This window comes from Homo sapiens, chromosome 15 (genome assembly GCF_000001405.40).
Source record: "Homo sapiens chromosome 15, GRCh38.p14 Primary Assembly".
Lineage (NCBI taxonomy): Eukaryota > Metazoa > Chordata > Mammalia > Primates > Hominidae > Homo > Homo sapiens.
In genome coordinates, this window is record NC_000015.10 from 34,769,703 (window position 1) to 34,786,116 (window position 16,414).

A 16,414-nucleotide genomic window follows, 5' to 3' on the forward strand; every position below is an offset into this window, starting at 1 on the left:
ACAGCTCCTCCTTGAGCACCTAAGTTTCAGTCATACTGAACTAGCCACAGTCTCCCAAATTCACACTTGTAGTATGCCTCAGGGCACCACATGTGCTGTGCCCTCTGCCTAGGAAGCCTATTCTTTAGCCTTCTCCTAACCCCTACTTCTTCCTCCAGACTCAGGCCAGCTAGCTATCTAGGGAGACTCCCCTTGCTCCCACCCCACCACATCCCTGCGTATTTGTGTCAGGTGCTCCTTCCAGCATGTAATTTTCCATGCCATGTAATAAAATAAAAATAGTCACCAATAGACTATAAGCTTATCCAGAGCAGGAATTGCTTTTGTTTTGTTCCGTTCTGCTTTGGTTTTACTTTTATCCCCTTCAGTACCTAGCATGGGCCCTGCATGTAATAGGCACTCAAATATTTGCTAAGTGAAGCTTTATGAATAAAGCAGCGGTAGATTGCCAGTCCAGGAGTGAGAGATTTCATGTCCCGGTTTTTCCATGACCAGCAGAATCCATTCATTAACCCTCCCCTCAGGCACAGCCTTCTGCAGAAATCCTTTCTGACCCTTCCTCTTCTTCTTTAGGCTTGGTGCCCCTTATGGGGGCACATGTTATTGTTTTGAATTTTTTATTTGTATAGACTTAGGTGCAAGTGCAGTTGTGTTACATGGATATATTGCATAGTGAAGTGTGGGTTTTCAGTGTAACCAGCACCCAAACAGTAAACACTGTACCCAATGGGTAGTATTTCATCATTCACCTTCACCCCGCTACTACTCTCCCATTTTTTGGAGTCTACAATGTCTGCTCTTCTACTCTGTATGTCCATGGGAGGGCACTTGTTTTTGAAGAGGTAATTTAATGGGATCATGAAAGATTTGGGCCTAAATTCTGCTCTGCCACTTGTTTCTAGCTGTACAACTCAAGTTAAATTACTTAACTTTTCTGGGCATCGGCATCCTCCACTAAAAGGCCAGTAGTATCACTGGGTTTCTGGGAGCATCACATGACATATTTCCCGGCACATTGTAAGTGCTCAATAAACGTTGGTCTCCGTTTCTCCTTTGTGCTCCCTCAGCACCCTGGTCATATCCCATCAGCTCCCTGGTCTGCCTCCCTCCTTGAACTTGAAGTCTAGAAGTGTATGTTCTAGCTCTCGTTCCACAGGACCCATGGGAAATGCTCAATGACTGTTTGTGGACTGAATAAAATTTCCCATTTTACTTGTGATCAACCTGAGGCTTAGAGAGATTAAATGACCTGCTCAAATCATGCAGCAAGGAAACGGTTAAACCAAGAACCATGACACAAATCTAATGCTTCAGCCAATACTTGTTTCATACGGTATTAAACCATGAGATGAATGTATAGTGTAAACCTATATCCATGTGATAGGATCTGTGCACGTGTACACAGGTATGGCCCCACAAGATATATCAAGTACTAGACACAGTCTCACTTGCCCACATGGAAGAATTGGATTCAGTGTTTATCTCTATCAGCACATGCCCCACCACATACCTCAGCTTTCTGGTTCTACCATCTTCCTAAAATAACTACAGTACAATATAATTTGTTGAACAGATAGAGTTTATATTATGGTAGCTACATAAACAGTGTTCACAACTTAGCAGTGTTATATTCCATAATTCTTTTCTTTCCTGTGCAAAATTCTGTTCTCCCTGGTATGAAAATTTCTGTTTGTGTGTATGCTTGGTTTTCTAAGGACTTATCACTACTTCAAACCCCAAATTTTCCTCTGTTGCCTCAATCATCTCTCAAAATATTTGAATACATCATGTTCTACAAGTTACATGTTCATGGAGAAATATCTTTTGCAACATTCCGACTTCTTCAAACTGGCCTGATTGAGTTTCTGTGTAATTTATTTTTTCTTGATATTCTCTCTTGTTTCGGTGAAGCCCTTCCTCTGGTAGCTTTTTGAGAAAGAGTCCATGGGAGGAACATTTTAAAGACCTCTCACATCTGCAAGTGAATTCAATCTACTGTTACATAATCATTTCCGTCAGAATTTTAAAGTCATTCCTCCACTGTCTTCTAACTTCCAATGTTACATCTGAAAACAAAGTCTTTCTGATTTTTGAAGTAGCGTATGCAACTTTTTCTTTTAAAGCTTTTGAGATCTTTTCTTTGACCTCAGTATTCTAAAAATCTCACGATAGTATGCTTTGCTTGGTGTGAATCTTTGCTTCATCTACTGTGCTAGATACGAAGGGGGCCCTTTAAACAATCACCACCACCCCCACCACCACAACAAAACTGATGCCCGTCAGTTCCAGGAAAAGTTGTTGAATTGTTTGTTGCTGATTTACTTCAAACCAACACCTCCATTTACTCTGTTCTTTCCTTCTAGAAGGTATCACTTGAATCTTGGTCCTCCTGGTCTCATCCTCTAATTTTTATCTTCCTTTAATCCTCCATCTCTCTGCTTTCTGAGAGATTTCCTCAGCTTTTTCTTGCGTTTCATTTGTTGCATTTTTAAAATATCTATGGTCACATTTTTAATTTCTGAGAGTTTGTTTGCATTGTCTTTGCTCGTTCTCAGGATAATAATTATAATATTTGATGTTCTCATCTCCTTTTATAGTCTGTCTTTCCTCTAAACTTTTTAAAATGTTTATTTTGATCTCTGTATTTCACATTAGAGGCTCTTCTCTTCAGATATCTGCTGACTTTTGGTTGTCAACTCATGTTTAGGAATGAATAAAGCACTAAGAACCTGATAGGAAATCTGAGAGCACAAGACGGACCTACCAACTATGGGCAATATAGAGCTATGGTTCTCGACAGCAGGCAAGACACTGGTGATTGTCACAACTCTGGGAGATAGTACTGGCATCTGGTGGGTAGAGGCCAGGCATGCTGCTAAATATTTTACAAAACACAGGACAGCCCTCATAACAAAGAGTGATGCTGCCCAAAAGGTCACTAGATTTTGTAGAATATCACAATGGGTCATTGAGTTAAGTCACCCCTGATACTAATATTTTTTATCTTTCTCCTGGGCTGATTAGATTTTGCAGGCAAGAACCTACCAGTCTCCTGCCTAGAGGCTACAGCCTTGGATCCCACCATTCTAGAAGCCCGGAGGGAGAAATGGGCTGGTGGTTTCAATAGTCCGTATATAAAAGTCACTTAAACACTCTGTTACAATACTGTCTCCTCACCATCAACTCTGGCCAGTGTTTTCCCAGTCCAGAAGCCCTCTCCAGAGGCTAAACATCTAGTTCTCTATTGTGGTGGAGGAACGGCAATTAATTGTCTACATGGAGTGGTGAAGGGGATATAGAACTTGAATTTCTTCCTCAACAGACTTTCAAACAACCCTCCTGTTTTTAGTTACATCCTTACCTCCTCTTCAGCCCCAGTTCCTGAACCTTTGGGACTGGCAGATTTCTGTTGTGTAAAACAGACTGTAGCTCAGCTTTTTCTACAGCTGCCTGCTAAGTCATTATCACTCATCTATCTGCCTTCCAGCTTTCTATTTTGTTTGCTCTTATAGATTTATGGCTTCTTAAAAAAATATATTTGCTACCATAATAGTGAGGTTTCTGAAGGGAATGAGAGCAAATGCATGTGCTCTCTTCTCCATCTGTTATATGGAGGTCCCACAATTTTATTTTTCATGTTGAGCATTTACTGGTGTTTTCCAAAAAGGCAATCCTAAATACAATAAGCCCATCATCAAATGAAAACAATGCATCTATACTGAACACCTGCCACATACAGGGTGAAATGTCTGCATTCTGTTGAATCTCTCGTGGCCAGTTTGGAGGTGCATGTTACCAGATGGATTTTGATGTCAGGAGTGATTTGGTTGCTTTTTTTCTCTTAAAGAAATCTACTGATTACAAATATCAGAGGTTAATTTGGAGCTCCTATCAGCTGCAGGATTCAGTGTAATAGGAGCAGAGAAAAAACTGTTTTAACCAAAACCCAAGAGAAAATAAGAATCCAAACACAATCTGCTAAAAATAAAATAGCAGTGTGGACTAATTGACTCATAGAGTTCTGTGTGAAGAGAATTCAGATTTCTCCAGCTGACCAGCTCCCTGAGCAGCTGGAAAAATGACTTTAGCTCAATGTCACTGGCTGTGATCTCTCCTTAGAAATTTGATTTTCACTATGGTCCTTTGAAATCTGGTGATTTTGGAGGAGACCTGGATTACACTCTGGATTTCCATCCCATGAGCAGATGCTGCTTGCAATGCCAACTGAAGCATCAATTCATGTTAAAAAAAAAAATCTGCTTTGAAAGCAGAGAGGGGATGTAGCCATGCTTCCCAGGTACAGTGGGTGCCAGCTAAGATTCTTTCGCACTCCAGCTTCAAGTCTTACATGAAGGCAGATACTACATTCCACCACTGGGAAGGAGAGAAAGCAGGATTAAAGGCACATTTGCATTGAAGTAGTGCAAATAAATGCAACCCAGAGCAGCTGAAACCTGAGCCCAGAACGATGTGACTCCTCCATTTGAACTTCTAAGGGGACTACTTTTATGGTGCCATGGCAACAGCATCACCTTCCATGGTTCTCTTGAAGAAAATTTTGCAGAAACATAATCAGAATATATGAGTATTTGGCACTGATTTGATGAGCCAGTGATCAAAGTATTCATTTCTTATCACATTTTGTTGTGCAGCTTTTAACTTCTAAGAAATTATCCAAATAATATTCAGCATAGAAAAATTAGAATATGCACATAAATAAGGAAAACTACCAGTAGTCTCTCAACTCAGATATAAGCACTGCCTTGCAGTTATTTTCCTATGCCTATATACCCAACTATATGCAAGAGGGAGGGTAAAATAAAGATTCTTTTTTGAGACAAAGAAGGAAAGGGTTTTCTACTCATAGACCTTCACTGAAATAATTACACAGAGCTGTCAGTCAAGAAAATAATTAAAGCCAGAGTGGGATGTGAGGGAAAAAATTATGAGGAAAGAAAGGTAAACTTCTTTCAAAAAGAATCTATTGTACGTATCTAACGTGAGTGAAGTGAGAATAAATACAAGACTATCATAACAGAAAGAGCAGAGAAGTTAACTTTAGATTGTGTTGAGTTAAACATATATTAAGTGCTTAAGAGCAAGCACTAGAAGAATAGAAATAGAATGTACAACTTCCGTGCTAGTTGAGAATGAAAATGGGGGATGAGAAGAATAAAGAAAACAATTCAGTGGAAGTGAGAACATCAGTCTTCTTGAGCTGCCATAATAAAATACCATGACTGGTGGCTTCTGCAACAGACATTTATTTCTCACCACCCATAAGGTGACTCTCCCCCTAAACCCAATGTCATTGACAAAAGCAACACCTACCAAAGAGGAGGGATAAGGACGTGGCTGAGATTCACTCAGTACTTAAATCCCATTAAAGCAAAGATCAGACTAGAAAAGCAGGGCACAGACAGAGAGCCTGATCCTTGGAAAAGAAGAGGTCTACAGTTCATTCGACTTCAGTGTTTAAGAATGAAGGGTCAGCGGTTCAGTCCTTCAACAAATAGCAATCCAGTACCTGCTAGGGAGGAAGATGAGAATTTCAGGACCAAATTATTCATTCAAAAGACGTAAAGAAAATACAGAATAGACAGCACTTAGATCTACTGTAAAAGAACCTCAGGGATGTCATTTTTAAATGCTTTAAAAAGGGATCCACAAATCCAGAGGTATTATATATGTGAAATTTTCACTGACTAGAAACAAAAGTTTGTGTTGGATGAACTACTCCCTAAAAAGCCCATCTCCTCAGCTCATGGGAATGTTGCTGTTTGTGCTGAGTGAAAGGGCATTTCCACTTCTCCAACTGCAAAAGCTGTATTTCTTTCAATATTAAGGTTAATGAGGGCTGGGCCCTGTAATCTACATGAGTAGGTTAATTCTCATGTGTCCTAGATAGTTGAGAGAAAAAGAGATTTAGAACTTCAGCTGAAGGGGAATGCACAGACCGCCATGCCGGAAATGAAGGCGTGCAAAGGAAGCGAGGAAAATCACTCCGTACAGGGGTCACTCCACCTCAGCTTCTCCACCTGTGAAGGGGGCATGCCCAACTGAGCCCTCCCTCCCCAAGGCATGAAAGAGACATGCCAGTTCACAGGCTTCAAACACTTTTGGAGAAAAGCAGTTATAGATATCATTCAAGATTTGATGATATTATAGTAAGAGAAATATTGTATCAAAATTAACAGAGCTGCCATGACATTGGCTGGAAGAACACAAGCATCTTGAGTGTGTTTTCAGAAGTGGGATGTGCTTTGAATTGATCTCCTGCCCCGTTATCAAGAGTGTGACTTGCAAGATGCCGTTAGAAACATCTTTATCCTACTAAGTTGAAAGATCAACGTTTTGAAACGTTACAATTAAATGAGACTATTTCAACATGTTTGTTTAAAACGACGACACATTGTGCCCAAAGGTAAAAGAGTGGGACCCCTGTCATGACATCCTTTCTCATTCAAGGCTGTTTTTGACACTGTTGTGACGACAAAGGTGAGGGCAAAGAAGGCAGACATAAGAGGTTCCTGTGTGTTAACCCTCACAATAAAGTCTTCACTGTTCCCTTCAAATATATAGGTGCCTTCATTGTTAAAATCAAAGCTGATAAACAGAATGATTTTGGATTCATTCACTCTGGCACTGCCTGGCTCCGCGCTAGACACTTTGTGCTAGAAAACCATGGTGTGAAGAAAAAGGCCAGTAGTAGAGACAAAAACAAACTAGATAAGCAATCAAATAGCTTGAATTATGGTTAATATGAAATGCCAGAGCAGACGGGACTCATCTACAGTGATAGAGGATTGTCTGGGGTTAAGGTACAGAAGATTGAATTTGGAGGATCAGGAGGAAATATGGGGGTGATTTAAAATGTACTATATTTTGATTAGGATGAAAGTTATATATATTTGTCAAAACTAATTGAATTGCATACTTATAATGAACACATTTTATTGTGTATAAATTACACCTCGATAAAGTGTAAACACTCACAGAAAATTATGTGACACATGCTATGAAGGAGACAAACCCAGATAACATAGTGGGGTGGAGTTGAGGTCAACTTAGATGAGGTGTCTCAAGAAGTCTTTTCTGGCAAATAAGATTCTCTGTTGGAAGGAGTATTAAATAAAATTTATGGGACACTGTTGTTTTGGACTGAACTTCTGCACTAGGCCCCAAGATACCAGCCCAAACCAAAATGGAGTGAGTCACTTGTGCTGGGTGCTACGTAAGCACTGAACTTACAAACAGGCCTGTTTTTCAAGAAAACAGGAGATTCACAGCAAGCAGTCCAAAGGGGTCCAGTCAACCTCAGCTGGCATGATAAGAAAGTCTCCTCTGCTTTAACCCCATAAAGAAAGTAGCTTTGAAATGACTGATCTGTGTTTTATTCCTTGTTTCTGCTTTCTTCAGCCTTTTCTGCCTATAAAGCTCACCTCCTCTGCTCAGCTCATCAAAGCACCTTTAAATTTCATAGATAGGGTGCTGCCTGATTCATGAATTACTAATAAAAGCCAATTCTATCACTAAACTCAATTTGTTAAAATTTTGTCTTTTGACAGGAGGAAAGAGCTCAATGCGGAATCACATAGGCAAAGGCTCTGATTATTTTCCTTGCAATCGAAGACAAAAGCCGCCATGTTTATTAAAATGAAAGTCGTATTTTTACTCTTCCCTGGAAAGAAGTATGTGCAACCAGACCATCCCACCAAAGTCCTTCTAGGTAGGGGGATAGGAGAGTATTAGCTAAAGAATACAAAGTTTTTTGGGGGGGTTGATAAAAATGTTCTAAAATTGACTGTGCTAATGGTTGGTTACATTTATCTGTGAATATACCAAAAACAATTGAATTGTATGCTCTAAATGAGTGAATTGTATAGGTGTAAATTATATCTTAATTTTTTAAAGTTTTAAAGGTAATATAATTCTCTGATGAGCCAGGTTAGGATGTGAACTTTAGCCATGGACTAAAGCAAAGTACACGGGAAAAAAAATCCTTCATTTTGACTTAGCATCATATATGTTGAAACAACAAAATGTAACTAGAGAAAATTTAAATATATTTTCTATTTCATTCATATGCCAAAGGAAAATTAAACTCCCCTTCCTCCAAAAAATGGAATAACCGTACCCAGTAAGAGACTTCTATTTTTGATAGCATGGCACTTTGGATACATTGAAGAGCCCTCTCAAGTGAAATAAAAATTCTGGGTAACTGTTTATTATTATTATTATTATTATTATTATTATTATTATTATTATTATTATTATTTGAGACAGAGTCTCATTCTGTTGCCCAGGTTGGAGTGCAATGGCGCGATCTTGGCTCACTGCAACTTCCACCTCCTGGGTTCAAGCGTTCACCTGCCTCAGCTTCCCAAGTAGTTGGGATTACAGGCACGCTCACCATGCCTGGCTAATTTTTGGGTTTTGTTTTTGGTTTCGGTTTTGAGACGGAGTCTTGCTCTCTCGCCAGGCTGGAGTGCAGTGGTGCGATCTTGGATCACTGCAACCTCCGCCTCCCAGGTTCAAGTGATTCTCCTGCCTCAGCCTCCCTCGAGCGTAGCTGGGATTATAGGCACGTGCCACCACGTCTGGCTAATTTTTATATTTTTAGTGGAAATGGAGTTTCGCCATATTGGCCAGGCTGGTCTCGAACTCCTGACCTCAAGTGATCTGCCTGCCCCCCAAAGTGCTGGGATTACAGGCGTGAGCCACCGCACCCGGTCACGTTTATTATTTTAAATGTATTATACAGCTGGCATAAAATAACCTAAAGGGCCCTAACAAAAAGTGAAATCTTGGGGAGGTGAATATCTAAAGCTGAGGATAATAGTGAGAATACGTTAGGTCACACAGTGGTAACAAACACAATCTCAGTGATTAATGTAACAGCAATTTATTTTTCATTCATGCTTCATCTCTGCAGGGGCCTCTGGTTACTCTAATTCTGTGTGGACCCTGGTTGATGGAAACTTCAATCCAACCTTTGACGATTGAAGTGAATTTTTTTATTTTTTATTTTATTTATTTATTAGTTTTTTTTTTTTAGGCAAGGTCTCACTCTGTAGTCCAGGATGGAGTGCAGTGGTGTAATCTTGGCTAACTGCAACCTCCACCACACAGGCTCAAGGGATCCTCCCACCTCAGCCTCCTTGTAGCTGAGACCACAGGAGTGCCCCACCATGCCTGGCCAATTTTTTTATTTTTTATTTTTGTAGAGGTGAGGCAAGGTCTCACTATGTTGCCCAGGCTGGTCTTGAACTTCTGGACTCAAGTGATCTTCTCAGCTTGGCCTCCCAAAGTACTGGGATTACAGGCATGAGCCACCATGAGCCACCATGCCTGGCCCTGCAATTGATTTTTAAAGTCTTTGTATCATGCTTCACTCTCTTCCAGTTTGGATATATATATTTTTTTATTTTTTATATCTTCCTATTAAGATGTATACTTAGAGCAAATACTCATCAAGTTCCTTCTGATGAATACTCCATCCCTACCAAGCTACAGTTTTCTTTTTAAAAACTAGGATCCTTATACTATATTTCAATGATGGAGCTCCCTTTTATATATTAAAATCAAACCAGTTATTATAACACAATGGAATTGACACTCTAGGGTAATGGATATAAAAAGGAATCTGGCTACTCTTTATTGTAAGAGTTACACAGTTTTAAAATAAGTTCCTTCAATTTCAAAGGAGACTCAAATGGTGTGAAAAGTGCTTTCTAAACTGAGAATTCAGAAAGCCAGTTTAGATTTCCTGGATAGGCTCTGTGGTGTAAGGCCATGGTAATTATTAATGGAACTCTTTAAACCCTGTATCATATAGTCACATTTTCTTGCTTCATAAAACGATTTAGATCAATCTCTCCTTTGGAAGACAAAGAAGAATCTGGCTCTACATTCTTGGCCTTTAGAGTTTGTGCTACCTAAATTGTCTATTTGCTCTTGGACTACATTGTTCCGTAAGGATCTCCACTAACTAAACCATTCTGGACATAAATGCTGGAATTCGCCTTCTTTAAACATCATTCCAGTGGGCCACTTCTCTTCTCAGGAAATGTCATCAATTCCTGAGTAAAAGCACGTATTCTCTCATATCAAATCCAAATTTCCACACTTGTCTTTCAAATTCTTGCACATCACACACACACACACATACACACGTGTAGGTACAATGTGTAATATATAATATATATACAGTATATCAATATATTTAAATATAGTCATATTAATATGATTATAAAGTATTGTTTTATTTATATAAATTTATAAGTATATACATTTTACATGTAAATATAAACATATAAATTATTTATATAATTTTATGTATATAAAAATTTTACTATATTTTTAAACATTATTTTTATCTGTTCTCTACTTTCTAAATGAAATTTCATTTCTGAATTCTAACAACCTATATTACTTTTTAAAAATATAATGTCAACTTTTATTTTAGATTCAGGGGATACATATGCAGGTTTGCTACTTTGGTATATTGTGTGGTGCTGAGATTTGGGGTACAATTAATCCTGTCACTCAGGTTGTGAACATAGTACCTGATTGTTTTTCAAATGATCCCTCCTCTCTCCCTCCCTCTCCCTTCTAGTAGTTCCCAGTGTCTTTTGTTGCCATCCTATGTCTATGAGTACACAATGTGGTTGAGAACATGCAGTATTTGATTTTCTGTTCCTGCGTTAATTCACTTAGGATATTGGTCTCCAGCTGCATCTATGTTGCTGCAAAGGACATTATCTCATGCTTTTTTATGGATGAGTAGTATTCCATGATTTATATGTGCCACATTTTCTTTATCAAATCTGTCATTGATGGACATCTGGTTTGATTCCATGTCTTTGCTATTGTGAATAGTTCTGTGATGAACATATGCATGCATGTGTCCTTTTGGTAGAGTGATTTATTTTCTTTTGGATATATACCCAGTAATAAGATTGGTAGATCAAATGGTAGTTCTGTTTTAAGTTCTTTCTGCAGTGACTGAACTAATATACATTCCCACCAGCAGTGTACAGGTGCTCCCTTTTCTCTGAAGCCCCACCAGCATGTGTAACTTTTGACTTTTTACTAATAGCCATTCTGACTGCTGTGAAATGGTATCTCATTATGGTTTTGATTTGTATTTCTCTGATGATTGGTGATGTTGAGCATCTTTTCATATGTTTGTTGGCTGCTTGTGTGCCTTCTTTTGAGAAGCGTCTGTTCATGTCTTTTGCCCATTTTTAATAGGGTTATTTGTTTTTTACTTCTTCAATTGTCTAAGTTCCTTCTATATTCTAGATATTAGCATATAGATGTTGGATGCATAGTTTGAGAATATTTTCTCCTATCTGGTAGGTTGTCTGTTTACTCTGTTGATCGTTTCTTTTGCTGTGCAGAAACTCTTTAATGTAATTAGGTCCTACTCATCATTTTTGTTTTTGTTGCTATTGCTTTTGAGGACTTAGTCATAAATTATTTCCCAAGGCTAATGTCCAGAATGATGTTTCCTAGGTTTTCCTCTAGGATATTTATATTTTGAGGTCCTGCATTTAAACCCTTAAATCTTTAATCTATCTTGAGTTAGTTTTTATATATGGTGAAAGGTATGGGTCCGATTTTATTCTTCTGCACATGACTAGCCAGCTATCCCAGCACCATTTATTGAATGGGGAGTCCTTTTCCTATTGCTTAGTTTAGTCAACTTTGTCAAAGATCAGGTGGCTGTAAGTGTACAGCTTTATTTATGGGTTCTCCATTGTGTTCCATTGCCCTATGTGTCTGTTTTTTTTTTTTTTTTATACCAGTACCATGCTGTTTTGGTTACTGTGGCCTTATACTATAATTTGAAGTCCAGTAATGTGATGCCTCCAGCTTTGTTCTTTTTGCTTAGGATTGCTTTGGCTGTTCAGGATCTTTTTTGGTTCCACATGAATTTTAGAATAGTGTTTTCTCTTTCTGTGAAAAAATGACATCGGTGATTTGATAGGAATAGCATTGAATCTGTAGATTGCTTTGGGTAGTATGATAACAACATTGATTCTTCCAATCCATGAGCATGGAATGTTTTCCATTTGTTTGTGTAATCTGTGATTTCTTTCAGTAGTGTTTTGTAGTTCTCCTTTTAGAAAACTTTCTTCTCCTTGGTTAAATGAATTTCTAGGTATTTTAAATTTTTGTGACCATTGTACATGGGATTGTATTCTTGATTTGGCTCTTGGCCTGGCTGTTATTGGTGTGTAGAAATGATACTGATTTTTGTACATTGAGTTTATATCCTGAAACTTTACTGAAGTTGTTTATCAGTTCCAGGAGCCTTTTGGTGGAGTCTTCAGGGTTTTTGAGGTATAGAATCATATCAGCTATGAAGAGAGATCTTTTAGCTTCTTCTTTTCCTATTTGGATGTCTTTTATTTCTTTCTGTTGCCTGATTGCTCTGGCTAGGACTTCCAGTACTATGTTGAATAATAGGAGTTGTGAAAGTAGGCATCCTTGTCTTGTTCTAGTTCTCAAGGGGAATGCTTTCAGTTTTTGCCCATTCAGTATGACATTGGCTGTGGGTTTGTCCTTGATGGCTCTTAGTATTTTGAGATGTGTTCCTTCAGTGCCTAGTTTCTGGAGGGTTTTTAGTCAGGAAGGGATGTTATATTTTACTGAAAGCTTTTTTTGCATCTATTGAGATGATCATATGATTTTTTATTTTAATTCTGTGTATGTAGTGAATCACATTTATTGATTTGTCTATGTTGAACCAACTTGGCATCCCAAGAATGAAGCCTACTTGATCATGGTGAATTAACTTTTTGATGTGCTATTGGATTTGGTAGTATTTTGCTGAGGATTTTTGCATGTATGTTTAGTGGGGATACTGACATGTAGTTTGATTATTTCATGTGTCTTTGCCAGATTTTGGTATCAGGGTGGTGCTGACTTCATAGAATGAGTTAGGGAGGAGTCCCTCTTCCTCCATTTTTGGGAATAGTTTCAGTCTGATCTGGTAGAATTTGGCCACAACTTGCTAAACTCCCTGATAATAAGAGCTATCAGACCCCCTCCTAACTCTGATTTACAACCCAGATCACTACAACTCTGACTGGGCAGAGGACCAGCCTTATAAACATTCTCTTCAACTGAAGACCATAAGCCAGTTTCGGCCAATATATAAAGGTTATGTGCAAACTCTCTTTGTGTCCTATAGTTCACTTTTGGTGTAAATCGCCAAATTTCACTTCATTTTAATGCTAAACCCCTGCCCCAAAGTGAACATGGGATGTACATTACATATATGTTTACCTATTGTGCATATCTTGGATCCTTCATAAATATGGACAGCTTCCCCGCACACCTGCTAAATATGTATGACATGGTTGTGTAATATGGACTGTGTGAGTCATAAAACCCAACCTGCCCTTTCCTTCCTCGAAGACAGAGTACCTTTGGTCCAGACTGGAGACTATTTCTTCCTGGTTTGCAAACTGACATCTACAATAAAGCTCTCCTTTCTACTATGTAGCCATTCCTGGTGGTCTTTTAGATGACAGCCCTTACCCACTGTACCCTAATCCTTCCCACTTGTTTGAAGATGTCTAAAATTCTACCTAGTCATTTCATTCATTTGAAGAGTAATGCAGATCCTCCAGTAGGTGTGATCACATAGGCTGTTCTCAATTCAAATTTTAGTTTAAATATGTTTCTAATACTTCCCAGAGTTAAAGGAAAACAGATATAATATATAGTGGGTGGTGTTCCACCAAAACGCTTGCATAATACAAGAAAAACATCACACGCACACACAACCCTTACCCAAGAGGTGTGTTCAGGCACTCATGTTTTTTTTCCCTGAGCTGTAGCAGCTCCATATTCTTATTTCTCTTGGCAACTTTTTGCCTTCTTTGCTTTCTCAACCCATCTTGGCCACCATCTGCTATGTGTCAGTTCCAGAGACCACAAACAACTAACAGCACCACCTGTGCTTCTTAGTTCCAGCTAAAGAGAGGAAAAAATGTCTGATTGGTTGCTGGTCCTTAGATATACAAGTCCTCATGCCAGACATATTCCCCTCTGGTTCCATTAGACCTGGGGCCATGCATGAAACAAACTTGTCTGCCTAGGGCCATTCCTTCAGGAGGAGTTACATGAGTAAATCTGTGTAGGAGAGATGGGTACAGTTCATTTATAAGGGGGAACTGAAGAGATAGAGAATGCAGAATGCCTGCTGTTCCTGATGGTTTTGCAGTTCTAAATTCCCATTTGCTATGAAGTCTAAGTCTACTTTATATCTTCAGATTTTAGGAGTTCCTCTATATCTCTTTAATAAACTCCCTTCCTAACTTAACTCCCTAGTTTGAGGAGAGTTCTGTTCCTTGAGACTAAGAGCATTGACCAGGATCTAGAGCCAAAGAACATGAAGCCCAAATCCCTAAAAACACAAAAGAAATTCCATGAGGCAGAGGCATGGCACAAAGCCAGGAAGTTGAGTGGGAGTAGGAGTAGGGACAGTGTTTCTCCCTAAGTGCCTGCTCCTGTACAGATCCAGCTGGCAGGAAAAGGAGTTAGTTGGAAGTCTTGGCTTGTGGAGTCAAATTCTCTCATGTCAACTTATTTAGACAATAGATGGAATATTTGTCCATCTATGCTGATTCCATATATACAAAGGGAAGAGAGGAAAGGCCAGGCTCTCAAATGTGGGTGAGAAGGGCATGGGGAGAATAGTGGGAGTTGAAGAGCACAGAAAAACAGCAGGCAGATCCTTTTCACATGGCCATCAGTCCAACCCTCTGTTGATTGTTCTCACCTGTATTATGTGTGGGAGCACACACTCACATGCACACACATAGCTGCTGCTCCTCCTGCCCACACCACGACTCTCTGTAATTTGTCTTCCAGGTCTCCAAGAAAGAGACTTTGTGTTCCTCTTTGCCTTCCTTTACATCCTGTTATAAATGCCCTTTAATTTTTTTCTTCCCACTGAGCTTTCTATTCCTTCATTTTTCCTATTCATTTTTCCTATTCTCAAGAGAAACTCAATGTAGAGAAACCATAACAATGTGATTTGAAGAGACTTCCGTAGCCCACCTCTGCCCCTCTCCAACACCTCCCAACCCAGCCTCCAAAGTTCATGCTAAAAAGAAAGAAATGGGGACGGAAGGAAAGTAAACTTAATTGAATAATTCAGCTCATACTGGGCATGGTGCTGAGTATCTTAAGCACATTTTGTTCCATTCTCATGACAACTCTGAGAACACGATTTTAGTTAGCCCTTCTTTCCTGAAGAAGCTAGGTGATTTACTTAAAGACCACTCAACTCATCAGTGGCAGAGCTAGGATTTAAACTCAAATCTTTTTGACCCGAAGCCCATGCAACATCAATCCTTTGGGCTAGTCTAATAAGAAACTATATGTAGAAAACTTTGGTTAAATTATGCTTGTGTTCTCTGGCAGGGAGATCTGTTCGAGCGTTCCCTTGGGAACATAGTTTAGGTAAGAGATTGCTTAATTGGCACAGTCTGCTCTTTGAAGGATGCAGGTAAAAGATGGATGATAAGGTTTGAATCTGTGTCCCCACCAAATCTTATGTTGAATTGTAATCCCTAATGTTGGAGGGCCTGGTGGGAGGTGATTTGATCATGGAGGTGAATTTCTCATGAATGGTTTGGCACCATCCCCTTGGTACTGTCCTCACGTTAGTGACTGAGTTCTCATGAGATCTAGTCATTTAAAAGTGTGTGGCATCTCCCTGCCCCTAGCTCCTGCTCCCACCATGTGAGATGCCTCACTCCCCCTTTGCCTTCTGTCATGATTGGAAGCTTCCTGAGGCCTCCTCAGAAGCAGAAGCTACTATGCTTCTTTTACAGCCTGCAGAACCATGAGCCAATCAAGTATCTTTTCTTTATAAAATACCCAGTCTCAGGTATTTCTTTTTAACAATGTGAGAATGGACTAATACAACAGGTAAGTTTCAATCTGTGACTGGAGTGACAGGGAGAATGTCCGAGATGGCCAGCATTTTGTGGAAGACACTGGAAAAGACGACTAAAGTGTACATCCTAGAGTTCAAGAGGCTTTAGGAAAATTTCACTATTTCGCCTAAGGCAGAGCTGCTCTTAAACTTCCTACATGATGCCTGTTTTTTCATATCCTGACCTCCATGATGCCTCCAGGCCACTTGCAGTAATAGTTCCAAAGTTCCCCAAGTCATCTTCCTGTGTTAAACGCTTACCCTGTTGACCCAATTCCTTGCTTACAATTGACTCTAGAGTTTGCTTCTTATCTACTATTTAAGCCCTGTTTTAATTCTGCTTTACTTCAGCCTTCCCTTGGGGTAGTTTTCTTTCTGTCTCCCCTCTTTAGTCATGACTTCCATGGAAGTTACAGTAAAACAATGCAGGAAAATAAGCAGACAATGATG

The 16,414-nt window shown here is 39.3% G+C and overlaps 1 long non-coding RNA gene across 1 annotated transcript in view; it reads left to right on the top strand.

Moving 5' to 3' along the window:
* Window positions 1-16,414, top strand: part of GJD2-DT (GJD2 divergent transcript) — a 57,840-nt gene that overhangs the window by 14,619 nt on the left and 26,807 nt on the right. The window contains exon 2 of the long non-coding RNA NR_120329.1: window positions 7,569-7,729. This is a non-coding gene — a long non-coding RNA (GJD2 divergent transcript). The remainder of the gene's footprint in view (window positions 1-7,568; window positions 7,730-16,414) is intronic.